Raw genomic sequence first — 26,714 nt, forward strand, 5'->3', positions numbered from 1 at the left:
CTCCATCTCCTGACATCGTGATCCGCCCGCCTCAGCCTCCCAAAGTGCTGAGATTACAGGCGTGAGCCAGCGCGCCCAGCCACAAGGAGGTCCTTGAATTAGTTATTTTTGTAATAAAACCTCCCAGGATGGGCTGGGGAGCGCCCACCCCACCACCACCACCACCGAAATCTGTTTTGCAACAGATTTGCAAACCAACATATTTGCCAAAATACAGGCTTGTCATTTCTCAGGAGAAGGGGGATAACTGGTTCTTGCTTCAAGTGAAAACCACCACACAGGAAAGAGAATGTGTCCCTAGCACGGTGGCTCACACCTGTACTCCCAGCACTTTGGGAGGCTGAGGTGGGCAGATCACCTGAGGCCAAAAATTCAAGACCAGACTGGCCAACATGGTGAAACCCCGTCTCTACCAAAAATACAAAAATTAGCCGGGCGTGGTGTTGGGCACCTGTAGTCCCAGCTACTCAGGAGGCTGAGGCTGGAGAATTGCTTGAACCCGGGAAGTGGAGGTTGCAGTGAGCTGAGATTGTGCCACTGCACTCCAGCCTGGGCGACAGCGAGACTCCATCTCAAAAAAAAAAAAAAAGAGAGAGAGAGAATGTGTTCCCAGACTAGAGACAGGGTGTCACAGGTGACAATGGCAGTCAGAGCCTGCCCTGTTAGCCTGCCCAGGTTTTTCCAGTACTTTTTTATTTTCCCTAAAGATCCTGTGATTTACAACACAACCTAGGCATTAACAAGCAAGGAAAACTAGAAATTGAAATGAAGCGGTTTTCAGAATAAGGATTAGACTCCAGAATCCCAGATTCTTTCTGCCAGAATCCACTTAATTACACACTGAAGTATGGAATTCCTGTAATACGAAGTTATTTGTTTCTTCTTTCAAAAAAGGGGTAAACTATATTCCTTATCAGTTTTCTGCAGCTCACTCAGTCATGGGAAGTTTATGCTGCATTTTCTCTTGCCCTTGGCTTCACCTTCTCCCTAATATCTACTGTTTTCCTAAGAAAGTTTCTCAGTATAGAAAAACAAGGTCATTTCTCGGAGTCTTTGCCAAATCTGCACTGGACCTTTGCTTCTGGAGGAATGGGAATTTAAAAGCAGCCCAAGATCGGTCATCCTGACTTTCATAGGAAAGGAAGAGCTTCTTCGCTCACTGACTTGACACTTGCTGCAACCCTGTGAGGTTTACCTTGTTACGCGTGTGTTAAAGGGGATGAAATAGATGCTCAAAGAATAATCTGCCCAAGGACACACAGCTAGAAAGTAGAAAACTAGGATTTAAAATCCCAGGCTTGCCTGACTGCAGATTCCCGTTGCTTCCTACAGCACTGGGCAGAGTTCCACTTCATAAAAGTCTAGGGAGGCCAGGCGCGGTGGCTCCTGCCTGTAATCCCAGCACTTTGGGAGGCCGAGGCCGGTGGATCGCCTGAGGTCAGGAGTTCGAGACCAGCCTGACCAACATGGTGAAACCCCGTCTCTATTAAAAGTACAAAAATTAGCTGGGCATGTTGGTGGGCACCTGTAATCCCAACTACTCAGGAGGCTGAGGCAGGAGAATTGCTTGAACCCGAGAGGCGGAGTTTGCAGTGAGCCAAGATCGCACCACTGCCCTCCAGCCTGGGCCACAGAGCGAGACTCCATCTCAAATAAAAATAAACATAAAAATAAACATCAAAATAAAATAAAAGTCTAGGGAGAGGAAACCCAAAGGGTTAAATAAAGCAGGGGGAGCGCTGAGGATAAACAAAAAAAGGGTTGGGTCTGGGTCTGAAGGGAGGGGCCAGGAAGTGGATAGGGCCAAGGCAGGAGATGCCTACTGGGAAAAGGAAAGTCTGGGCCCTGGAGGAGGTGTGGCCACTTAAAAGTCAGATTTAAGGTGGGGAAGGAAACTTGCCACAAGGTCAAATGGTTAGGAGGTGGCACTGGGAAGGAATCATGCCTTAAGGACTTTCTGAAAAGCCAGGCTCAGATTCTTTGCTCTGCCACTCTGACCCTTGACTTCCCCCACATCTGCCTCATTTTAAAATTTTCATTTTATTTCCATATGATTTACTTTGCATTCTCCTTATTTCTTCCCATTCCAGTCCACTGCCTTTTTCTATTTGGTTTTACTCAATTGTGGCTATTCTAGTGGAACCAGGGGAAATACAGGCCTCTCTTCTTCTGACTGAATATCGTGTAACGTCTTCAACTTCATTCTTCCATTAAAGGCAAAGTATGTGCTACAAAATCAAAGTTCACATCCTGCAATCAGCTTCCAAGAGAGTGAAGCCGACTTTACACTATCTTTTCCATGCTTCTCTTCTAAACTACTTCTGAGGTTTTTCTTCCCCTCTGTTCCCTTCTGAGAGGTGTCAGTGTGGCCAGGTCTGAGCTGCACAGAGGTGGTGGGAGGTGTCCCATGGAGGCAGTGCTGCACGGTTCCATGGAGCAAATAAGTAAATTGAACAGGTAAATGTAGAGAGGACAATGGGGGCTAGGTTGGAGCAGTGGCCAGAAGAGAAGGGGGAAGAATGGAAATAACCTTGGGGTATTGAATTGTAATTGAAAGTACATTATGAACTCATAATTCAAAAAAACATAAACACAAAAATATAAATATATCTATACAGATATAACTATATGTGTGTATATATATATAGAGAGAGAGGTGTGTGTATATATATGTGTGTGTGTATATATATGTGTGTGTGTGTGCATATATATATGTGTGTGTGTGTATATATATATGCATACATACAAACAAATCCTAGCTCTACCAGCCAAGCAAGCCTAGAAGCAATATCATCCCAGCAGCAATGAGCACGTGGAGCATCTATCTATCTTGGTTTCTAAATGTCATTCTGCACTGAAAGGAACCAGGAAATAGCTGATTCCTGGGATGGTGCAGGAACTAGGTGAGCCTAGAATATCTGCTGGTACTAGAAAGGGAAGACATTCCTCAAGGATGATGTGGACTGAGCTGGGAGTGGTGTGTTACGGGAGGCAGTAAGTCTGACATAAGCAGGATGGAGAGGGCACGCCCCCACCATGGCCCCATGACCTGGAATGTCAGGCCACCATCAGGTGATGGTCAGGCAGTTGTCACACTGTCTCTCTAAGATAACAACTGGTCACAGCCGGCTCACCAGGGAAAGGCAGTCTCCCAAGAGACAGAAAAAACCTGAAACTGGTGACCAGCAGCTTCCCAGTAAGATCTCAGGAGTTGAGTGGGTGAGCTCAAGCTTGTGCACTGAGAGGCAGGTGGTGGGGTTTAACTGGTATGTGACCTTCTTCTAGGAACACTCGATTGGTAAGGGAAGAGCTCCTCAAGTGAGCATGCACACAACGTCAGTAAACACTGTGCACGCGGCCCTCCCAGGTGCTGGCAGGCCACTGTGCATGCAGACAGCCCACGCCAAGGGGAGAATCAGGGGAGAAGGGATGCAGCCCCCGTCGGAAGCATGCCAGCATAAAAAACCCAAGTCAAAGGTTACACTGTGCACTCACATCTCTCTAGTTGCCTGCTTGGCCCTCTTCCAAGCATACTTTATTTCCTTTTGTTCCTGCTTTAAAACTTTTTAATTTTAATTAACGTTTACTCCTGCTCTAAAACTTGCCTTGAGCGCTCTCTCTCTCTGCCTTATGTCCCTCAGTTGAATTCTTTCTTCTAAGGAAATCAAGGAAGCAAGAATTGAGGTTGCTCCAGACCCATGCGGATTTGCTGCTGCTGACATACTTTGGTGCTGTGACTTGGATATGTTCCCTAGTGGTAAGACGCCTCTATGCCTTGCCTTCTTTGGCTGGAGGTGTTCAACCCCTAAATGCAGTTTTCTTCGCCCTCTTGCTCTCCTGCTTACTAACCAACCCCCAGAATGATTCCTCTCAGCCACAGTGGCTCTGCTTCCCCCCGGCTGATCTCTCAGCTCACCCTGACAGGTGGCTCGTGGAGGGGAGGAGGACCCTGGAGTCTGCACCAAGTAGACCTGAGATGCTAATGGCCCTCCTGCACAGGAGGCTGGGGAGAGCGGTAGGGCTAAAGCCTAGGACCGTGCAGTGTCTGGGATTTCCTCTGCTTTTTCAACTAAAATCAGCTCTTTCCCAAAAGCCTGTGCTGCCTGTTGTGTTTTCTCTGTGTGTGTTTTGAAATGGCCTTGCGCACCCTCCAGACTCTCTGCCTCCGGGGCAAGTCTGCCTTTTCCCTGTTTCCACTTTGCATACTGCATAACTTCCTTCTCTGCCCCACATGGACACACGCCCTCTTATTCATGCATCCGCGGCTCTTGCTGCATTCGCTCGGCAGCAAAGCCACAGGCTCCCTTGTGGATGTCCCTTGTGGAGATTTGTACTTTTTTACCCCACCAGCTTGGATGACCTCCAACTTTTCCCCTGTCTGTTGGCACATTGCTGGGATGGACACTGATCGGAACCCCAGGTCTGACCGCTCCCGATGACTTTACCGTACACTTCTTGTTCCAGTTATGCCCCAGGGCCTAGTTTTCTGGTGGCTTTTGAAGCAGTTTGTGCACCTGCATAGGACCTCACTCTGTGGCCCTTTAAGGACCCCACCTACTTGTGTTTTCTTTTTTTTCTTTTCTTTTTTTTAGTTAGCATCCCTTTGGCAGGAGGAAAAATTCTTCCTTTGCCATTTGCAAGTTCTTACCACCAAGCTCCAAGTCCTCCACAACTTCTTCTATGTCAAAAGAGCAAATAAACATTGCCTTCTCAAATCTAAGGGCTGCTGTTTTTGCAAGCAAAGCCTTTCCATGAGCATCCCTCTCGCTTCCTCCCACTTCTTCCTGTAGCCTCCATTTCTCTAATCCTTCCACGCCCTTCTCAATATGCATCAAGATCTTCAAGGTCATATTCAAAGGGAGGGAAGTCCAGCTCCCTCGAGGCAGTTAGCTGAAAAACAGGCTTCTCATCTACTTAAAGAACATGGGAAATGGAAATTTGAGGAAAGAGATAATCAATTTGTTGTAGAATGCCCCGGGCAAGAGTCACTATAAGGTCATGGAGAAAAGGATCTAGGCTGGCTCAAGCCTGCAGGTGCAAGAGACCCACAGGACAGAGATGAAGGCTTGTTCCAGGTTAACATTACCATTAGAACAGAGATGAAGGCAAGGTTAGGGGTGCACAGTAAGACCAGTTCATTCCAGAACCCCAAGGATGGACAGGGGGTGCCTGGTTCACACCCTTATTTCCTCTGTTCTTAAGTGGATAATAGTGACGAGATGGGACGAAGGTTAAGGGGACATGGTAAGACTGGTTTATTCCAGAATCCTAAGGACGAATGGGGGATGCCCTGTTCAGGATAGAGAAGTAACAGGGGATGCCTTCTTTTTCCTTTTTCCTTTTTTTTCCTCCTCTGTTCTCTCTTCACAAATGGGTAATCATGTCTTCATAGCATGGGACATGCCCCCTGGTTGTATCCTCAAGAACTGGGAAAAATTTGATCCTCCTCAAACCTAAAAACAAAAAACTAGTTTTCTTTTGTAATACTGTTTGGCCTAAAAACGAACTGAGAGAAAATTACAAAAGTCAACCTTAGAACCTAGTGCCCCTATATAGGAAATCCTCAAATCAGCCTCCTCAGTCTTTTGTAACTAAAAGCAGAATAAGGAGGACAGGGCTAAGGAGAAAGGGAAATGCAGGGACAAGAGACAGGCTCAACAACTGGCTGCTTTACAAGCTCTCCAGCCCCCTTCAGGTTACCCTAAGGACAGTCCTTCAGGTAACTGTCATTGGTGTGGGAAGCCAGGCCACTGGAAGGCAAACTGCCCCAATGAGATAAATGGGAAAAAGCCCGGCACAGCTTGCCCCTTTGCCACAAGCTCTGCCACTGGAAAAGAACTGCTCTGACGGCCGAAGGACTGGATCCCAATCCCTGATGGCCTTGAGCTGAAGGAGACCTCTGCTCTGGCTGGCTTCCAAGTCAGACATTGTCATCAGCAAGACAAAGCCAAGGGCAACAGTAGAGGTAGCAAGTAAAATTATACATTTCCCTTTTGGGTTCAAGAGCTGCCTAGTCTATGCTAATCTACTTCTCTAAGCAACTCTTCTCCAAATCCTATCAGGTAACAGGGCAAATGTCACCCTCTCCCTCTAAAAGAAAAGATTCACACCCCTTTAGGACAAAAATATACTTTCCAAAATGGGTGGCTGCTTAATATGTACCCAACCTCTGAATTCACCTTCCTCTCTAATAGCCCTATTTCTCCCAAAAAGCTACCTAAATCTTTAACCGATAACTTCAACCTGTACCATCCTACTTCAGGGGTTTAAAAATAGCCCACACTTATTTGGATGAGCCCTAGCAAAAATCTAACCGAGCAATCTCTTGAGGGGAAACAACTTCTACAGTATGTAGATAACCTCCTCATTTGCTTCCCCTTCACAGGACACACACAACAACATGCAGTACAAACCATAAATTCCTAACAGAAGGAAAATAACTTTTCTCTAATTCAAAGGTTATAAAGGTAAAGAGGTATTTTTGTTAAGGAAGATTATAAAGAAAAGAAATTTTATATGAGAAAGGATCTTTTGTCGTAAATTTGCATCCTAAAGAAAAATAACTGATTGTTTAAAAAGAGGGATGCTTAGGACAAGTGAGAAAGTCCAAGCTTTTCATAGATGTTCTGTGTAAGTCATGAAAAGATTTGTGAAAGGGAATTTATAAAAGAAATATCAAACAATTTTGTTTTGTTTTGTTTATTTATTTTTACAATTTTTAATTTTTGTGAGTACACAGTAGGCATATATATGTATGGCGTACATGAGATATTTTGATACAAGCATACAATGTGTAATAATCACATCAGGATAAATGGGGTATCTATCACTTCAAACATTTATCCTTTCTTTGTGTTACAATCTAATTATAGTCTTATAGTTATTTTTAAATGTACAATAAATTATTGTTGACTGTAGTTACCCTGTTGTGCTATCAAATACTAGATCTTATTCATTCTAACTAACTATATTTTCATATCCAATAACCATCCCCCATTCTACTACTCCACTACCCTTCCCAGACTCTGGTAACCATCATTCTAACACAAATGTGAATTACAATGTTCTAATGTGAATTTAGAAATGTTTCGCTTCTCAGTAATTTTGTGATATGAACAAACATTACCAAAAACACAAGATTCTATTTTTCTAGTAAAATACCCTATGGTAGAATTTCAAATATCATGTTGGATTCTTTTCGTGTTTATTTGGATGAAAATAAGGTATGTTAAGTAAGTGTAATTATCTCATTTTTATACTGCTTGTATACTTTCTTGAGAAGTTCAGAACCATTTCTTCTCTGATAAAGATAATAACGTTATATACTTTCACAAAGAACAAGCATGGTTTTTAACCTGTTAAATTGAAATTCATACTACTAAATAAATGAATAAATAAGTAAATAAATAGAGGAAGCAGTGGAACTTCTTTCTTACAGTAGAATACCAAGTAATTAATGTAGAAGGAATGATGAAAATAGCAAACCACCATATGACACTATTATGGTTATAATTTATTCAGATAGGGATCATCCACAAATATTAAGGCTGATGGGTAGAAGTTGTTAAGGATCAGGATTTTAGCATAATTTTAGAAAATCTCCCCACAAAATGCTTATCAATTGCAAAGGTGAAAATGGTGACTCAATGGAGGAGAAATATGGAAGACACCAACATGACCAAGCAATCAAGATTAACATCACCAGTGATGAGACAAGACCACATCATATGCTGTAATGTGCAGAGCCCAGGATCCTGTCCATCATTTTCCTGTCAAGAAATCATGGCGAGGTCTGACCAAAATGAAATATTAGATGGAACCAGGTCTAGGGCCATCCTACATAACAAAAGGCCTGCACTCTTAAAAACTGAAGGATGTGGGGCCAGTTGCAGTGGGTCGTGCCTGTAATCCCAGCACTTTGGGAGGCCAAGGTGGGTGGATCACTTGAGCCCAGGAGTTTGAGACCAGCCTGAGCAACTTGAAACTCTGTTCTACAAAAAAAAGCAAAAATTAGCCGAGTGTGGTGGCACACGCCTGTAGTCCCAGATACTCAGGAGGCTGAGGTAGGAGGATCACCTGAGCCTGGAGAAGTCAAGGCTATAGTGAGCCATGATCACCCCACTGTACTCCAGCCTGGGTGACAGAGTGAGACTGTCTCAAAATAAAAACAAAAACAAAAAACGGAAGGATGTGGAAGACAGGGAAAGACTAAGAAATTATTCCATATTGAAGGGAATCTCCTTCCTTCTATTCGGACATGTGACAACTAAATGTAATGCATGCTCCTGGACTGGATCCTGGACCTGAAAGGGAAAAGAGACATGATGGGCTGAGCCAGCAAAATTTGAATGGGATCTGTGGATTGGGTAGCAGTGTTGTGCCCATGTTTATTTCTGCCTTGGAGGGTTTGTATAAGTTTTCTAGCACTGTCATAACAAATTACCACAAACCACATGGCTTTAAACAACAGAAATGTATTATCTTGAAGTTCTGGGGGCTAGAAGTCCAAAATCAAGGTGTCAGTAAGCTTGGTTCCTTCCGGAGACTCTGATGGAGAAAGCGTCCCATGCCTTTCTCCTTGCTTCTGGTGGTTGCTGGCAATACTTGGGGTGCCTTTGTTTGTGGCAGCAGATCCCCAACCTCTGCTTCCATCTTCACATAGCTATCTGTGTGTCTCTGTGTCTCTCTTTGTCCTCACCTTTTCTTATGAGGACACCAGTCTATGGGATTCAGGGCCCACCTTAATCCTTGGACGGATTCAATTGGAGATCCTTCATTACATCTGTAATGACCCTATTTCAAAATAAGGTCACATTCTGAGGTTTCAGGAGGATGTGAATTTGGGGGGAACACTTTTCAGCCATTACAGGGTTATATCTAAAAATATATTCTGGAGTGTTTAGAGGTGCTGGATCTTATGATTGCAGCTTGCTCTCAAATGGTTCAGAAAATGATAAAAGGGGATTCAAGAGTTCTTTGTGTACTGTTGAAAGACAAAATTACAATAAATTTAGTTTAAAGATCTTAACTGGCTTTTACATATGATTCTAAAATCCAGCTACACCTCATTCCTCATTCTATATAATAGAATGAGTGCTCCAATAAGCAGATGATATGGTTTGGCTGTGTCCCCACCCAAATCTTATCTTGAATTGTAGCTCCCATAATTCCCACGTGTTGTGGGAGGGACCCAGTGGGAGGTAATTGAATCATGGGGGCGAGTTTTCCCATGCTGTTCTCGTGATAGTGAATAAGTCTCATGAGATCTGATGGTTTTATAAAGGGCAGCTCCCCCTGCACACACTCTCTTGCCTGCCACCATGTAAGATGTGCTTTTGTTCCTCCTTTACTTTGCGCCATGATGGTGAGGCCTCCTCAGCCATGTGGAACTGTGAGTCCATTAAACCTCTTTTTCTTTATAAATTACCAAGTCTCAGGTATGTCTTTATTAGCAGTGTGAGAACAGACTAATATAGCAGAGCAGAGGAGGTTGGCTTTATAGACAGAAAAGGGCTAAGGAAAGCAGAAACAGAACAAAAAGTGGATTGGTTGTTTCAAACTTACTTTCCTTGTAAAGATTAAAGTAGGGAGGCTTCCTTGTCATGCCAACTAAAGTGTCTGGGGATTTGGCTATTATCTCTCTCACTCCTGATTTCTCAGAAGGTCAGATGAACAACTTAGTTTCAGCTTGGGGACATGGCACTTCAACATATGGGACTCTGTTTTGGTTTGGTCATTGGGTCTAGTACAGGAGCTCAGTCCAAACCATATGGCCTCCCATAAATTTTATTTAACAGTACTGTTCTTGCAACTTTTCTATACACTTAAAACTATTTCAAGATAGGCTGGGTGTGGTGGCTTATTTCTGTAATCCCAGCACTTTGGGAGGCTGAGGTGCGAGGATTGCTTGAGCCCAGGAGTTTGAGACCAACCTGGACAACATGGTGAAACCTCGTCTCTACAAAAAATACCAAAATATATATATATATATATATATATATATATATATATATATATATATATATTACCCAAGTGTGGTGGCCTATGCCTGTGGTTCCAGCTACTCGGGAAGCTGAGGTGGAAGGATCACCTGAGCCCAGGAGGTTGAGGCTGCAGTGAGCCATGATTGCGCCACTGCACTCCAGCCTGGGTGACACAGAGTGAGACCCTGTCTCAAAAAAACATAAATTATTTCAAAAAAATTATGTAGTTGTTTTTTTTTTTTTGAGATGGAGTCTCGCTCTGTCACCAGGCTAGAGTGCAGTGGCGCAATCTCGGCTCACTGCAACCTCCACTCCCTGGATTCAAGCAATCCTCCTGCCTCAGCCTCCCAAGTAGCTGGGATTACAGGCACCCACCACCATGCCTGGCTAATTTTTGTATTTTTAATAGAGACGGGATTTCACCATTTTGGCCAGGATGATCTCGATCTCTTGACCTCATGATTCGCCCATCTCAGCCTCCCAAAGTGCTGGGATTACAGGCGTGAGCCATCATGCCTGGCCTGTGTAGATTTTTTAAACCTGTTATTGAAATTATTTGAAGGTTTTCATTGGGAAACATTTGGGAGAGAACAAGGCAAGATTTCAAATGTTTGCACATCCACGGGTTCTGCCACTGTCTTGTTGGCAGACAGGGACCTTGTTTTGTCCCTGGGTCCCTGCAGATTGGGGGTGGCCCTCCTCGAATGAGTAGTGAGAGCTCCCAGTCTTTTTATCTAAATGCTTTGTTCTTTGTCATTTCATTGCTCTTCAGGAGACTTGAGTGTTGATTTGGGGTGGATAAGATACCTCTGCAGAGGGAGCTGATCTAGAAATTGGTCGTGACCATGAGAGGCTTTGTTCAAGTCAAATGGAGGATTGGAAGTCTTGTCTATGTCATAGAACCAAGAACCCAGTGCTGAGCTCCCAGGGCTAGGACTGTTGACTCTGGAGAAATCCACATCCATGCATAGTTCTGAGGACTGCCCATTGCCCTGTATGTTGAATGACTTCAGATTTTTTTAAAAATTCAACTTTAGAGTTACATTTAGTCTTATCACTCTTACTCCATCTTTCCTGGTTTTCTTTTCTCTTCTCTTTCTTCCTTCTTCCTTTTTCCCTCTTCCCTCTTCCTCCTCCTCTTCCACTCCTTCTCCTTCTCTTTCTTTCTCCTTCTCCTTCTTTTTGAGACACTGTCTCACTCTGTTGCCCAGGCTGGAGTGCAGTGGCACAAACATGGCTCACTGCAGCCTTGACCTCAAGGGCTCAAGCAATCCTCTCACCTCAGCCTCCCGTGTAGCTAGGACTACAGGTGTGCACCACCATACCTGGCTAATTTTTAATTTTTTGTAGAAACAGGGGCTCACTGTATTGCCCAGGCGGATCTCAAACTAGTGGGCTCAAGCAATCCTCCTGCCTCAGCCTCACAAGGTGCTGGGATTACAGGCATGAGCCACCACGTTCAGCTTTCTTTCCTTTTTATTCCTATCAAATAAAGTAAAATGCAATTCCTTTTTGCCTATTACATATATTTCTAATCTCAATCTAAAATCTGTCTCCTCATTTTTCAAGCTTTTAATTTAGCTAATAAAAGCTTTTACCTTTTATTTCTTCCACTTTAAATCTAAAGCATTTCAACTTATATCTTTCATTACCTTTCAGATTTAGTAGGTTATTTATTTTATTTTTTAGATTTAGCCCACCACTGGCCACTGCTCCTGGGAGGTGGCGTGTGAGTGAGTGAGTGCAGGAACTAGAGCGAATGAACTCTGGAGCCAGCTGGTCGCTCCTCTCCGGCAGGAGCAGGCTCTGTGCAGGCCCCGCAGCAGCATCCAAGCATGTTACAACCAATTGCCCTTTCAGCTCTGCCGTCTGAGGACAGCCAAGTGCCAGTCAGCTCAGTGGAGGGTCAGGGTGGCAGCCCCTCCCCTCTTGGCACCTGGGTTCTTGTCTGGTGTCCAGGAAGAATCAGGTCACATGAAGTGTTTGAAAGGTGATGAATGCGGAAGACTTTATTGAGCAGTGGGTGGCTCTGGGCAGAAAGGGAGGCTGGAAAGGGCATGCGAAGGTGATCTTTTCCTGAAGCTCTGCCGTCTTTGGCTGGGCCCCTCTCTGAAGCCACGCTGTCTGAAGTTGGCCACATCTATCTGTAGTCTCTGGTGCTCAGTTGCTTCTCTGCTCACCGCTCAGCTGCTTGGATCCACAACACTCAGCTGCTTGGATCCGCGACACTCAGCCACTTGTGTTGTTCTGCCAGCTGAAGTCTTTTATGGGCACAGGATAGGGGCGGGGGAGGCCCAAAAAGCCACATTTGGGCAGAAAAATGGGATCAGCTGTTTTCACTTAGGGCCACGGTTCCAGGCTTAAGGCTGGGGTTTAGCCAGGAGCCCAGCCCTTCTGTATCACTGGAACTGGAGGCGTACGTCACCATAGCCGGCTAATGTTGGTATTTTTTGTAGAAACAGGTTTTCACCATGTTGTTCAAGCTGGTCTCGAACTCCTGGGCTCAAGCAGTCCACCTGCCTCAGCCTCCCAAAGTGCTGGGATTACAGGCATGAGCCACTTCATCTGGCCTGTTTTTTCTTACATTTACCTTTAACCCGTAATCTTTCCTCAAGCTCCCACAGTCCCTTTATTAGCATGCCCTAATTTCCTTTCCCTTTCCTTCCTCCTCTCATACAGTGATTGGCTTTGACAATGTCTGTAAAGGAGGGTGGTCTCAGGGGCGTTAGGAGTTCGGAGCTGATGACATGGAAGAGGTTTTCTCCTCTGACTGTCTCCAAACCTGCCAGCCTGGCTCGCACGATGGCCCCAGAGCATCTTGGAGGATGCCTCAGAACCTTCGGCCTGCATTTGAAGGCTTCATCTATTCCAGGGCCATAATTCTCTCTGAACTATTTATATATATATATATATATATATATATATATATATATATATATATACACACACACACACATATATATAGATATAGATAGATATATAGATATATAGACATATAGATATAGTTGTTTTTTTTGTTGTTTTTTTGTTGTTTTTTTTTTTGAGACAGAGTTTTGTTCTTATTGCCCAGGCTGGAGTGCAATGGCACAATTTCAGCTCACCGCAAGCTCCGCCTCCCAGGTTCAAGTGATTCTTCTGCCTCAGCCTCCCGAGTAGCTGGGATTACAGGTGTGCACCACCACGCCCGGCTATTTTTGTATTTTTAGTAGAGACGGGGTTTCACCATATTGGGTTAGGCTGGTCTCGAACTCCTCACCTCAACTGATCCACCCGCCTCAGTCTCCCAAAGTGCTGGGATTACAGGCGTGAGTCACCGTGCCCAGCCTATTGTTTATGTCTTACATAATCCAGTCCCTTGTGTTTTAAAATCCGTGGTGTTCAATATCTAACTCTATGTTGTTCAACAATCCACACCGATGACATAGCATGTACATCATGAGCCAGAGAATGTGGTCCAGGAGCTTACAGCACAGCAGCTTGGCCTGGCGGCAGGTGGCCCGGGGCCCTGAAGCTTGGAGAGGGTCTCTGTAGGTGCACTACGGGAGGCTTGTTTTCCTATCTGTATCTCAACTGCTTATTTCCAAGTTGCAACACTCCCCTTCCTGGCGGGCTATGAAAGGACTTTGGGTGTGTGGCTCTCCCAGGCTCCCTTCCCTCCTTATGACAGTGCTGGAAAAACTGGCCAGTATGGCTATTATTCTGGATGATTTTTTTAAATGACAATAATTGATGCTGATGGGGGAGTTTCAAAGACTCTCCCCTTTTCTTCTTAATTGCAATAGCTCTTACCACAAAGGCCAAGGAATCAACGTAGATTGATTCTACATTAATTGCATATTCAGGTTCTGGGGCAATGCCCACCAGACGGGTCAGTAGACCCAGTGGAATCAATGTGAGCCAGACATGGGCCAGAATTCCATTTACTGTCTGAACCCCACATGCCTCCATTCTAACAGGGGTGTATCATGGCTCTGAGGATAAGCAATGTCGTTATCTGAGAAAATAACCATAAGGATCAATGGGGAAAGCCTGGGGCAAACATTACTACTTACAGCCCTGAGGCTGCCGGGCTTTTCCTAGTGAGGACCCAGCCTCTTCTTCGGTCATTGGATTCTGGGCTTGAAAAATATCTCAGGCCCCAAAAAAAGAACAAGGGATTGTAACTTTTTAATTATTTTTTACAATTTTTTTAGAGATAGAGTCTTGCTTTGTCACCCAGGCTGAAGTGCTGTGGTACAACCATAGCTCACTGCAGCCTCGAATTTCTGGGCTCAAGTGATCCTCTGCCTCAGCCTCCTAAGTAACTAGGACTACAGGTGTGTGTCACCATACCTGGCTAATTTTTTTAAATTTTTTGTAGAGATGGGGTCTCGCTATGTTGACCAGGCTGGTCTTGAACTGCTGGCCTCAAGCGGTCCTCCCACCTCAGCCACCCAAACTGCTGGGATTACAGACGTGAGCCACCATGCCCTGCTTGGAATCATATATTTTTATTATGGCAGCTGCCCTCATCCATCCTCTATTTTTTTATTGTATAAGTTAATCGGTGCTCATCCATGTGATGGCCCTCCACAGAGCCCTAGGAACACTATGTCTATGAAGCATCTCCAAAGCTCTGTGCGGACTTGTTCCCTTAGCTGACCTTCTGATCTTGCACTCATTATAACCATCATGCCCCCTCACTTCTGACAGCAAAATGTAACCACCTGATCCCTATTCTTTGGGGATCTTATCATCCCTGTTGTCATCAGAGATCCCAGTTCTATAATGACCATCAGTGCTGGTCTATTGAGAACAGCTGAACCAGTGAGACTCGCCAAACTTTTCAACAATGCTGGTGTCCCTCTCCCCAGTTCATTCCTGATCACTTCAGGAAGTGGCATGTACTTCAGACTCTCCTGCAGACTATCTGGTGAATTTTCCAGCCTCACATAGTGCGAGTATACTCTAGTATACCCACTTCTCTGGCCTTTGTGATCTTTTCTTCCAGCGCTTGCCACAATAGTTCTGGCACACTGACTTGGTTTAGCACGAATCATTGCTTTCTCCGGCCTCCCAGAAGCCCCACTAGCAACACAGGAGTTCTTCCTCCTGGGATCCTTGCCAGAGTATTAAATCTTGTATCCTTGGAGAATGCTCCCATATCTATCAAATTTCCCTTGCCCAGCTCTGCGCTCCACCCTGTGTTAAAAATGTACCAAGGAATTGTTTTATTCAGGTACGGTGGGACAGCAGACATGGAAATGATTGTCAGGAAGGAAGTTCATACTCACACATCCCTGAAACACGAGGCACAGCACACCATGCAGGGCCAATAGGGAAGGACCAGGGATGCTCAGGAGTGATAAGAAGAGGGAGGGCAGGCCCAGAGCCTTTCTTGGGGTTTTCTCAGGAAAGCATGGGTGAGGCAGGGTAAGGATGCAAAGTAAGTATAGTGTTGGATAGTTTGAATAATTTCAACTGGCTCTGGGCTACGGCTACGGGGTGATCCCCATTTGCCCAGTGACTGCCCTGGGGCAATTTAGGGCAAGGGGAATATTAGCTTGGTGTGTGAGAGTTTTTCTGTTTTTTGGTTTTTTTTTGAGGCAGGGTCTCACTATGTTGCCCAAGCTGGAGTGCAGTGGCTAACCACAGGCACAATCAGAGCACATGGCAGCCTCAAACTCCTGGGCTCAAGGGATCCTCCTGCCTCCGCCTCCCAAGTACCTGGGACTGCAGGCATGCACCACCATGCCAGGCTGGTGTGTGAGAGTCTGATAAAAGAGATGGCTGAGGGTGTGGCTCTGGATTGGCTGGTTTGTATATGAAATGCATGCTCACAGGGATGTCGCTTGCTATCCCTAGGAATTAGCTGGCCCTGGGAGCCTCTCCAGGATGAAGGCCCCAAATGCCAGAGCATTAAGAGTACAGAAAGTAAGAAAAAACAGTCAGTACCACCCCCAACCTCCCACCCTAACCCCACTCCCTGATTCTGCACTCTCAGAGCCCAGCCCTGTCTGCGCTCTGCTGGATCCTGCCCACTGAGGTAAGCTTGGCCCTGCAGCCCCTTCAGTGTATCGCTCTTTTTCTCCCTTCACAGGTCCCGCATCTCCCCAGGTGGGTTACAGAATATAGTTATTGGCCTAATGGTCAAGAGGGCAGGTAAGGACAGACCCTGAAGAGGGTGCCTGCTGTCTTGCAGGGACATGGCCGCTGCACTGTGTTCAAATAAATGGGGTGGGTGCTAGCCCTTAGTATGGAGGAGGGAGCCATTCCCTAGGCTCAAAGGGTTCTGGGGAATCAGGATTTTCAAGCACATGGACACAAGTGTTTCAATCTCATATCTCCAGGTTCCACTTTCTGCTCATCAGAGCCCCGACCTGGGCAAAGCAGACCTACCCAGGATGAGAGTTTAACACTTTCTAGAATTCTGCTACTCTTATGATTAAAAACTGGGCCTGATCCTCAGCTTTTTCTGCTCTCTGGTGACTGGAGATGGGGATTCCCTTATACGTTGCCAAGAAGGTCTCTGGTTTTCATACCTAGCTGGTGAGTTGTGCATTCACTGCCAGCCTTTCATTTTTCGAAGCGGCAGTTCCCCTGCAACAGTCATCCAATTCCACTGTCCTTCATTCCCCCCACGTTTCTCAAATGTCTAATACATTTCGATGGCTACTGTATTCCCCTCCACTCATTTGCCATCCAAATTCACTACTGGCAGAAGTTTTAACAATTGCACTGCTGCCTTTTCCTAGGGCTAGGCTGTGCCTCATCTACCAGCGGTTATGAAGTCCTCATTGCCAACCAGAAACACAGGTGACTCAGCTGCAGAATCCCATCTTAGCATCTGCTTTCTTGGAATATTACTTTTGAAATTAAGTTTTTAAAATTATCTGCAGAGGCAGGGTCTCCCTATGTTGCCCAGGCTGGTCTCAAACTCCTGGGCTCAAGCCCTCCTCCTGCCTCAGCCTCCCAAAGTGTTGGAATTGCAGGTGTGAGCCACTGCAGCAGGCCATGTTGAAATATCCTTGATATCACCAGTTACAGGTTGCTTCCTGGGGAAACAGGCTCTGAGATGGAAGTTAGCATGCAGGACGCCTGCTAGAGTGCTCTTGGGATTAACACCCCAGGAGAAAGGGTGACCTCAGCTGACCCCATGGGCCTTCAGAGTTGTCATGAGTTGGGGCACGGGGTCCGAGCCCTTATACCTCTGCAATGAACAGTCATCGGATACCGACTGCCCTCACAAGAGGACATGACCTTAAGCAAGAGGATCTCTGCAGCCAAGAGCAATTTCTGGAGAGGACAGACAGCTGAAGGCTGTCAGCCAGCAGCACTCCCAGAGTCCCTCAGATTTGCCGGGCAATCTGGATGGTGCACTACGCCTCCCACACCTTGCAATCTGGGCATGATTTATCTTAACGTACTCATCACCCATCAAGGTGCATGCTGCCTGCTTGGACATATAGTCTCTCTTTTATGATTATTTAAGCTGTACTTACATTTCATGCTTCATGGCAGAATTATTTAACTTAAGGGCCTTAAATATCAGGATTTGTGGTGGGCCCAAAAGGCAAGGAATGGCATGGGGAACACTGTCTCCCCATGGGTCGTTTTTCTAGAGACAAATGTACTAACCTAGATGGAATAATTCTCACACTGACTTTAGAACAGAATCTGTAAGTTCAGGGTACAGAAGGTTGATCATTTTGGTTAGAAATACTTGAGAGGGGCCAGGCACGGTGGCTCACGCCTGTAATCTCAGTACTTTGGGAGGCCGAGGTGGGTGGATCACGAGGTCAGGAGATCGAGACCATCCTGGCTAACACGGTGAAATCCCGTCTCTATGAAAAATACAAAAAATTAGCCGGGCGTGGTGGCGGGTGCCTGTAGTCCCAGCTACTCGGGAGGCTGAGGCAGGAGAATGGTGTGAACCCAGGAGGCGGAGCTTGCAGTGAGCCGAGATCGTGCCACTGCACTCCAGCCTGGGCAACAGAGCGAGACTCCATCTCAAAAAAAAAAAAAAAAAAGAAAGAAATACATGAGAGGGATTGTTGGATAATCCTACTCACCACGAATCTGGAAGAACGATGTGACACTGCATTAAATTTAACATTTCACCTTGGTAGCTATGCCAATCACTTGGTAAGTTAGTTACCATTTGAGGTTCCAAAAGTAGGTAAAAAGTGAATGAGCCAGGCTCAGTGGCCGAGGCTGAGGCAGGAGGATCACGTGAGGCCAGGAGTTTAAGACTAGCCTGGGCAACACAGCAAGACCCCATCTCTTAAAAAAAAGAATGAAACCACCCTTCAACCATTCTGGTTCTATTCATAAAAGAGTTTTGTGGGGAGGGATAGTTCCTTTTCACAGAGGGCACTGATTAAAAAGCATTGATCAATAATCAATGATTATTCATTTATTCATTTCGGACCTGGCTAGGCCTTAACGGTATTTTTTACAGGAAGTCTTTGCCACAGAGGAATTTGGCCTATGATTTCACAGCCACTGATAGGGCGTCCAGGTTGCTTGGTTTCAGTTGGGCTAGGCCATCCCAGGTGTGAATAAAAAGAAATGGTCTCAAAGTTCAGCCTAAACCCATGGGCCGTGAGGCTGCACGGGGCCATTTTCACTCCCAAGACTGGAATACTGTGTGTATGGGAGCCATTGTCCGTCATGGTCTACAGCGATTCCAGTGCCTGCAGTTGGACTGATGTTCCCAGGGTGCTCAGTGCAGTTAACATCAGCCTGTGTGCAGGGAAGCCCAGAGAGGAGGCCTGAGTTTGTGGTTTGGGGTTTTGTTTTGTTTTGTTTCATTTTGCTTTTAAGTCAGAAGAAAAATAAATCAATTTTTTAATTAAATGTTATCACTACAAGAGTGTAGTAATCTGCTTAAGACTACCTTGTGATTTCCCTCTCTCCCAAGGTTCTTAACAGTAAAAGAACATTGGTTTTTGAAGATAGAAAAGAGAGGGAGGTCTAGGTTGTGAGTTGCATGAATCCCATTTGCACATTCTTATGCCTCTGAGGTACAGAGGCGTTTGTACTTGAGGGTGGCAAGATTTAACAAATAAAAATACAGGTGCCAATATTTAATTCAAATTAAACTTGAATTTCACATAAATAATGAACAAGTTTTGGCATAAGTATATCAAATAAAAGTTTAACAAATATTTAACAAATAAAAATTTAACAAATAAAAATACGGGTGCCAATATTTAATTCAAATTAAACTTGAATTTCACATAAATAATGAACAAGTTTTGGCATAAGTATATCCCAAATACTGCATGGCATCGTGCAGAGTGTGTTCCAGATCTTGCAGGGGCCTGTATTTTATCTGGCAACTCTATTGTCTTTTCAAGTGAAAACTGTGTGGTTATGCAAAGGACCTTGCAAGGCGAGGGGACCAGCAATTTGCCTGCCCATGACAATCTGAAAAGGGGTAGTGAGCTCCAAGAACTGTGATAGGAGGGATAACAAAGAGGAAGACAGCTCAACAAAATCAAACCATCTCGTCAAATACAAATAAATGTAAAAGGGAGTTTACAAAATTCTATCAGTCAAAACACACTGATAGAATTGAGTTGGCAGACAACTGAAACAACATGCAATTGACGGCTTACAATGAACAAGCCATGATTTACAGTCCAAGAGGAGCAGGATGAGGCACGATGGTGGTGGCCATGTTGATTTCCGGTGAGAAATGGAGGAAGTTAATGTTGGCCTGTGGTTTTAGAATTTGTAAAGGTTGAGCAAGCCTCCACTGTGATGACTTTACTCTCTGTGGGAAGACTGTTGCTCCATGAGAGAGGCCCTGACTCAGTGCAGAAGGGAGATGAGAAGAAGAATATAAAAGACATTAAGAAATGACAGCCCTGAGGAAGGCAATCATGACATCCAACCTACAAATCCTCTGAAAACTTAAACTTGCCTTCCCCGGCCAGGACGCAGGCCAATGTATATTCACACACATCAGGGGTTTCCCTGATTTCTAAGTCCCTGAAGAGGCTCGGTGGTGTTCTCAGTTCTAGGTGTGATTTGACAAATTTCTAATGAGAAAATTATACATGAAAGTGTTATTTTTGACCATAAGCAGTGGTTTATGCCTGTATTCCCAGTGCTTTGGGAGGCTGAGGTGGGAGGATTGCTTGAGGCTGGCCAGGAGTTCCAGACCAGACTGAGCAACAAAACCCCGTCTCTACAAAAAACTAAAAATAAAACGTGAGGTGGGGCACAGTGGCTCATGCCTGTAGTCCCAGCACTTTGGGAGGCTGAGGCAGGTGGACTGTTTGAGCCCAGGAGCTCAAGACCAGCCTGGGCAACATAGTGAGACCCCCACCTCTAAAAAAAATAATAATACAAAAATCAGCTTGGCATAGTGGTGCATGCCTCTAGTCCCAGCTACTTGGGAGGCTGAGGTGGGAGGATCACTCGAGCCGGGAAGGTCAAGGCTGCAGTGAGCCAAGATCACACCACTGCACTCCAGCCTGAGACACAGAGCAAGACCCTATCTCAAAAATAAAATAAAATAAAAATTAGCCAGGCATGATGGTACATGCTGAGGAGGCTGAGACTGGAGGATCACTTGTGGCCAGGAATTGGAGGCTGCAGTAAGCTGTGATCGTGCCACTGCACTCTAGCCTGGGCAACAGAGTGAGACCCTGTCTCTTTAAAAAAAAAAGCGTTATTTTAAAAAAAGCTCTTGCACCTCAGTTTTTATTATTTGCAAATCCCTACTTCACTCTGACTTTTGATCACAAACTTTCAATGCATTGAATATAGAATCTAATTCAGAAGAACAAGTTCTGTGACCTTGGCAAGTCACTGCTGTTTCCTTGGTTTCTGTCTCTAAAACACAGGGGGATGGACCAGCTGATTATAAGGTAGCGTCCATCAGCCTGGCTAACATGGTGAAAACCCATTTCTACTAAAAATACAAAAATTAGCCTGATGTGGTGGTGTGTGCCTGTAATCCCAGCTACTCGGGAGGCTGAAGCAGGAGAATCACTTAAACCTGGAAGGCGGAGGTTGCAGTTAGCTGAGATCACGCCACTGCTGCACCCCAGCCTGGGTGAGGCCTGAGGTGAGACTCTGTCTCAAAAAAATTTAAAAAATTAGAAAAAAATTTGTGTCTAACATGCTCTTCTATGACTCCATGATTATGGAAAGTGTATTTTCTGATGGCCCAGTCTACATTTAGGAGAGGATATTCAACCTTTTTATTTATTATTTATTTATTTATTTTAATTTTTTTGAGATGGAGTCTCGCTCTGTTTCTCAGGCTGGAGTGCAGCAGCGCCATCTCAGCTCACTGCAACCTCCGCCTTCTGGGTTCAAGTGACACTCCTGCCTCAGCCTCCTGAGTAGCTGGGATTACAGGTATCCACCACCACATCTGGCTAGTATTTTTAGTAGAGATGGGGTTTTGCCATGTTGGCCAGGCTGGTCTTGAACTCCTGACATCAAGTGATCTGCCCGCTTAGGCCTCCCAAAGTGCTGGGATTACAGGCATTAGCCACCGTGCCCGGCCTCAATCTTTCTATTTAAAAGCGTCATTATTCCTTATTCAGAAAATAGGGTGATAACTGTAGCACCTTCCAAGTACAACCATAAATAGGATATTACCAGAAAGTGATTACGGCATGAAGAATTCTAAAATGGTCCCCATGATCTCTGTCCCCTAGTATTATCCTCAGGTTATATAGCAAGGATGAAGGACTTTTGCAGATGTTCCATCAGAATCACTGATGAATGCAATTCTGCCCTTTGCATTTCATCCCTTTGGCATAAGGCCCAGATGCAAATAAAGCTAGTGAAGAAAGTAATAGGTAAACCTTGCAAGTCATTCATTCTTCACTGTGGATAAGGTTCCAGGTGACTTTAAATTAACCAAAAGAATATCCTGAGCAGGCCTGACTTAATCATTGGAAGTCCTTTGGAAGAGGAGAACTGGGCACGGTGGCTCAAGCCTGTAGTCCCAGCACTTTGGGAGGCTGAGGCAGGGGGATCACCAGAGGTCAGGAGTTCGAGTCCAGCCTGGCCAACATGGTGAAACCCTGTCTCTACTAAAAATACAAAAATTAACCAGGCATGGTGGCACACGCCTGTAATCCCAGCTACTTGGGAGGCTGAGGCAGGAGAATTGCTTGAACCTGGGAGGCAGAGGTTACAGTGAGCCAAGATTGCACTATTGCACTCAAGCCTGGGCAACAAGAGTGAGACTCTGTCTCAAAAAAAAAAAGAAGAGGGCTGAAGATTTCCCTGGGGTCAACCCTCCTGCTGGCCTTGAAGAAGCACAGCACTGTATGTTCTACAGCTGCAAGGAAATGAATTCTATTAACAAGCTGAATGAAGCAGATTCATCCCCAGTTGATCCTCCAGATGAGAACTGCCACCTGGCCAACACATTGACTACAGCTTTGTGACACCCTGAGCAGAGGATCCTGCTAAGATATGCCTGGATTCCTGACCGATTGAAACTGTAAGATAATATATATGTTGTTTTAAGGGAAAAATAACAAATAGAAATAAACGTGTTATTATCATTCACAAATCTGGGTAATGTTCCTTGTGTGGGAAAATAGAAACATAAAGTAAAACACCTTAAAAGAAATGACTTTCAACTCTCTCTCTACCTTCTCTAGATTTTCTCTGTTCCTAGGTTTGGTTGGACTCTGGGGTTTTTAGGAGAGACCCACTAAGACTGGAAGCAGTATTTGTACAAAACCATAGCTCTTAATAATCCACACCAGCATAATTTCTCACTTGAATTCTTTTCCTTTTTCCTCTTGCACTTAGGCCAGTTGAACCGGTTTGCCCAGCTTGGAATTATTCATAAATTTTTGATTAGCTTTTGAGAAGGCATTTAAAAAGCAGTAGCAAGACGGACGGTGGAAAGACTGGACAAGACCACCTTTAAGTGTGGAGAATATCCACTGTCCAAACTCTGCGGCAATCAGAGGAACATTGGTAGTGAACCATTCAAAAAACTCATGAATCAGAGATGATGGCTACAGAAGCACATTTATTTATTCAAACATTTCTTTAGTGGTTTTAAAAACAAAGTTTGTTTTCTAGTTGGAGAACATACCACAACTATGACTCAGTCCTGACTCAGAGCTTCCTGACCAGTCGACTTTTAGGAGAGAAAAAAACAATTCAGGCTGGTGAAGGCGGAGTCACATTGATTTGGCTTCCACAAACCTGATTAAAGCAGCCTTCTTCCAACAGAAAGTGTGACTTTTCTTCATCATTTCCTTGTTTACTTTCTTTCTTTTATTTTTTTAAAAAGTACATCCCTTTTGGAGGAATTTCAAGAAAGTTTCAAAGTTGAGCCAAGTATGCTCCTTGTGCCCCCATTCCCACATCTATAAAATGATGAGGATTAAATAATCAAATCCATGAGGTGCTGAGAACAGTACCTGGGATAAAACAACTGGTCAACCAGTGTTTGCCATTATTAGTATTTTACTAAAAAGCTTGCCACGGTCTCTTTCTGGTCTCACTTTCCCGTACCCTCCAAACTACAGGCCCTACATGTCAGCCACACTATATGCCTTACATACTGGTTGTTGTTGTCGTTGTTGTTGTCGTTTTTTGAGACAGAGTCTTGCTCTGTCGCCCAGGCTGGAGTGCAATAGTGCAATCTTGGCTCACTGCAACCTCCACCTCCTGGGTTCAAGCGATTCTCCTCCCTCAGCCTCCCGAGTAGCTGGGGCTACATACAGGCACACACCACCAAGCCCAGCTAATTTTTATATTTTTAGTAGAGACGGAGTTTCACCATGTTGGCCAGGCTGGTCTCAAACTCCTGACCTCAGGTGATCCACCTGCCTCGGCCTCCCAAAGTGCTGGAATTATAGGCGTGAGCCACAGCACCTGGCCCATACTGGTTGTTAAAGGTTAAATCATGTCCTTCTCACCCTGGCCTTAAAAATAACGTACATGTTAAAGTTCTAACTCCCAGTACTCCAAAATGTGACCTTATTTGAAAGCCAGGTTGTTGCAGACATAATTAGTTGAGATGAGGTCAGTAGGATGGACACCTAACCCAATATGACTTTGGTCCTTATAAATAGGGAAAATTTGGACACAAAGACACACACACACATGGAGAAGACACCGTCAAGAAACACAGGGAGAACATCAGGTGAAGATGAGGGCGGAGATTGGGGTGATGCTCCCACAAGCCCAGGAACGCCAGAGATTGCCACCAAACCGCCAGAGCTGGAGGGTTGATGCTCCCACAAGCCAAGTAACGCCAGAGATTGCCACCAAACCACCAGAGCTGGGAGAGAGGCATGGAACAGATTGTCCCTTGCAGCCCTCAGAAGGGACGAATCCTCCTGCTGACACCTTGATCTTAGATTCCTAGCATCCAAAAATGAAAGAAATACCTGTTGTCTAAGCTTCCCAGTCTCTGGTACTTTGTTACAACAGCCCTAGCCAATGAATACACTTGTACATGGCTTAACTTTTCCCACCTCCATGTCTATAACCGTTCATTGCAAAAACCTCCCTCATTGCTGCCAGTGGAAAATTGATCCATATGTCAAATGCCTTGTTCGCCTGCTTAGATATCTGCAATCAGAATTAACTCATTTCCTATTGGTCTCTATATATGCCACTCATAGCTTACCACAATCCATGTGTATTATTAGCTCATTGGAACTATGGCTCTCTATCTAACTAGATATATTGTATGTCTTGTTATATACATTGTATAGAGTATAAGTCACAACCCAATTATTTCTCTCTCTCTCTCTCTTTTATTTTTAAGAGACCAGGTGTCACTGTGTTGACCAAGCTGGTCTTGAACTTCTGGACTCAAGCGATCCTTCCACCTCAGCCTCCCAAAGTGCTGGGATTACAAGCATGAGCCACTGCACTTCTGCGCCTGGCCAACCCAATTTTTAAGGACAGATTTTTTTTTTTAAAGCTAACCTTAGGTACTTTTTAAAAAATCAGTTCATTAAAGGAAAACTTCAACCGGATTAAATGTAAAAGAATTTAATGAAGCAATGAAGGACTCACAAATCAGGCAGCCTCCCAGGCCAGAGCAGGCTCAGGGATTCCAGCACAGCACGTCGTGGAAGAATGTTTATGAACAGAAAGAGGAAGTGAGGGACAGAGGCAGCGGATTTGTTACAGCTCAGGGTTTGCTTTATTTGAACATGGTTCAAACAGTTGGCTACATTTGATTGGCCAAAACTCAGCAATTGGCACAAGTGTGGGCTACCATCGGTTTACACCTCCACTTGTTATAGTTCACGATGTACAGAGAAACCTTTAGGCTGAACTTAAAATACGTAAGGAGGCAGCTTTAGGCTGAACTTGATTTAACACAGTAAAATTGATACAAGACATAAAACACAAATTAGGGAGAAAATGACATTCCAAATTGTTTACAAGGTAAGCAATACATGTAGAAAAAGTAAATATGTATTTCAGTAAATTTAGCCAAGTAAGCAAAAAAAATTATAATGTAATAGACATTATCTATTAGACGTTTCTATGATATATATGAGTCAATTCTTTTACAGGAAGCCACAGTGCATTTGAATGTGACATGTTTGCTGTGATGCTCTGTGCAGCCACACTTGGCTACAGGAGCTAGCAGCCTCTACAGTTTCCTTGTCTTCTAAGTAGGGCAGACTCGTAGGTTTCATTTTGTAGTAAGATTCTGTAAGATTCTCTTTTTTTTTTTCTAGGGATGTTTTTCATTTAGAGTGTTTGTCAGTATTTTTTTGGAGTCACAAAGGGAAACACAGAGGAGATACAGTGAGATGATACAAACTTCCTTTCCTGGGGAAGGCAGCTGTTCATTTTCCATCTTAAATGTGATCACTTTTCCTTTTCTTAGTGTCCAGCTAGAAACCTGCATTCCTTCCAGACCTGCTCATACCCCTCTAATCTCTGATCAGCAATTCAATGTAGCGTGCATTTGTTGGGGGCACCTTGGGGATAGGGTGGGGAAATGTGTTTTAGTCATGAGCAGATATAATAACCTCATTCAGTGAGAAGTTGATGTGAGAAATGGTGGTCTTGTGTTTCCCGTGTGTGTGTGTGTGTGTGTGTGTGTGTGTGTGTGTGTGTAATTTTTGGTAGAGATGAGGGTCTAGCCATGTTGTCCAGGCTGGTCTTGAGCTCTTGGCCTCAAGCAATTCTCCTGGCACAGCCTCCCAGGGTACTGGGATTGCAGTTGTGAGTCACTGTGCAAGGCCCCTAAATCTAGATAAATGGCCCTACCTCCAAGACCAGAAACCTCGGTGAGTGTTACCTTTGATTCCTTTCTTCCCCTCATGACCACCCCATTGTCCTGAGCTGTGTTGACTCCACCTCCTATATATTTTCCCAACCTGTCTCCTTTCCTGTCCTTATGATCATTGCCTTAGCTTGGGTCACCTTCAGTTTTCACTTAGAGAGTGAAACTCTTTTCTCATGGATTTCCTTGCTGCCTGTTGCCTACGAACCACTGTCCACACCCTAAAATGCAAGTTTAATCACATTGATTGTTATGTGCCAGAGAATGTGGAAAACGTAGCACTCATTTAATCGTCATAACAAGTGAGATGATTTCGTTTTTACAGTTGAGAAAACTACTGAGAACGTGAAGAACTTTCCAAAGTTTCACAGTTAATAAATGAGAGAACCAAAATTCAAATCCAATCTGGCTCCAAAATATAATTAAACACTACATTGCACTGCCCCTTTAATAACTCCCAGGGACTTCAAAATAAAATCCAAACTCAT

General features: G+C 44.6%; 1 long non-coding RNA gene across 2 annotated transcripts in view, besides 3 other annotated features; it reads right to left on the minus strand.

Moving 5' to 3' along the window:
- LOC105373262 (uncharacterized) overlaps positions 1–25,078 on the minus strand; it is a 94,430-nt gene extending 69,352 nt beyond the window's left edge. For both annotated transcript variants that reach the window (XR_007066983.1, XR_949343.3), the window contains exon 1: positions 24,996–25,078. This is a non-coding gene — a long non-coding RNA (uncharacterized LOC105373262). The remainder of the gene's footprint in view (positions 1–24,995) is intronic.
- Positions 19,433–19,842: an enhancer, noted in NCBI's record as "active region_2837". NCBI's record gives its function as "activates an Ori minimal core promoter by ATAC-STARR-seq in GM12878 lymphoblastoid cells {active_cell/tissue: GM12878}" and the evidence as "EXISTENCE:reporter gene assay evidence [ECO:0000049][PMID:35858748]".
- Positions 23,276–24,234: an enhancer, noted in NCBI's record as "H3K27ac hESC enhancer chr1:244486677-244487635 (GRCh37/hg19 assembly coordinates)". NCBI's record gives its function as "activates a minimal SCP1, AML or CMV promoter by ChIP-STARR-seq in naive H9 embryonic stem cells {active_cell/tissue: H9 hESC(naive)}" and the evidence as "EXISTENCE:reporter gene assay evidence [ECO:0000049][PMID:30033119]".
- Positions 25,429–25,508: an enhancer, noted in NCBI's record as "active region_2838". NCBI's record gives its function as "activates an Ori minimal core promoter by ATAC-STARR-seq in GM12878 lymphoblastoid cells {active_cell/tissue: GM12878}" and the evidence as "EXISTENCE:reporter gene assay evidence [ECO:0000049][PMID:35858748]".

Source organism: Homo sapiens, chromosome 1 (assembly GCF_000001405.40).
Source record: "Homo sapiens chromosome 1, GRCh38.p14 Primary Assembly".
NCBI lineage: Eukaryota > Metazoa > Chordata > Mammalia > Primates > Hominidae > Homo > Homo sapiens.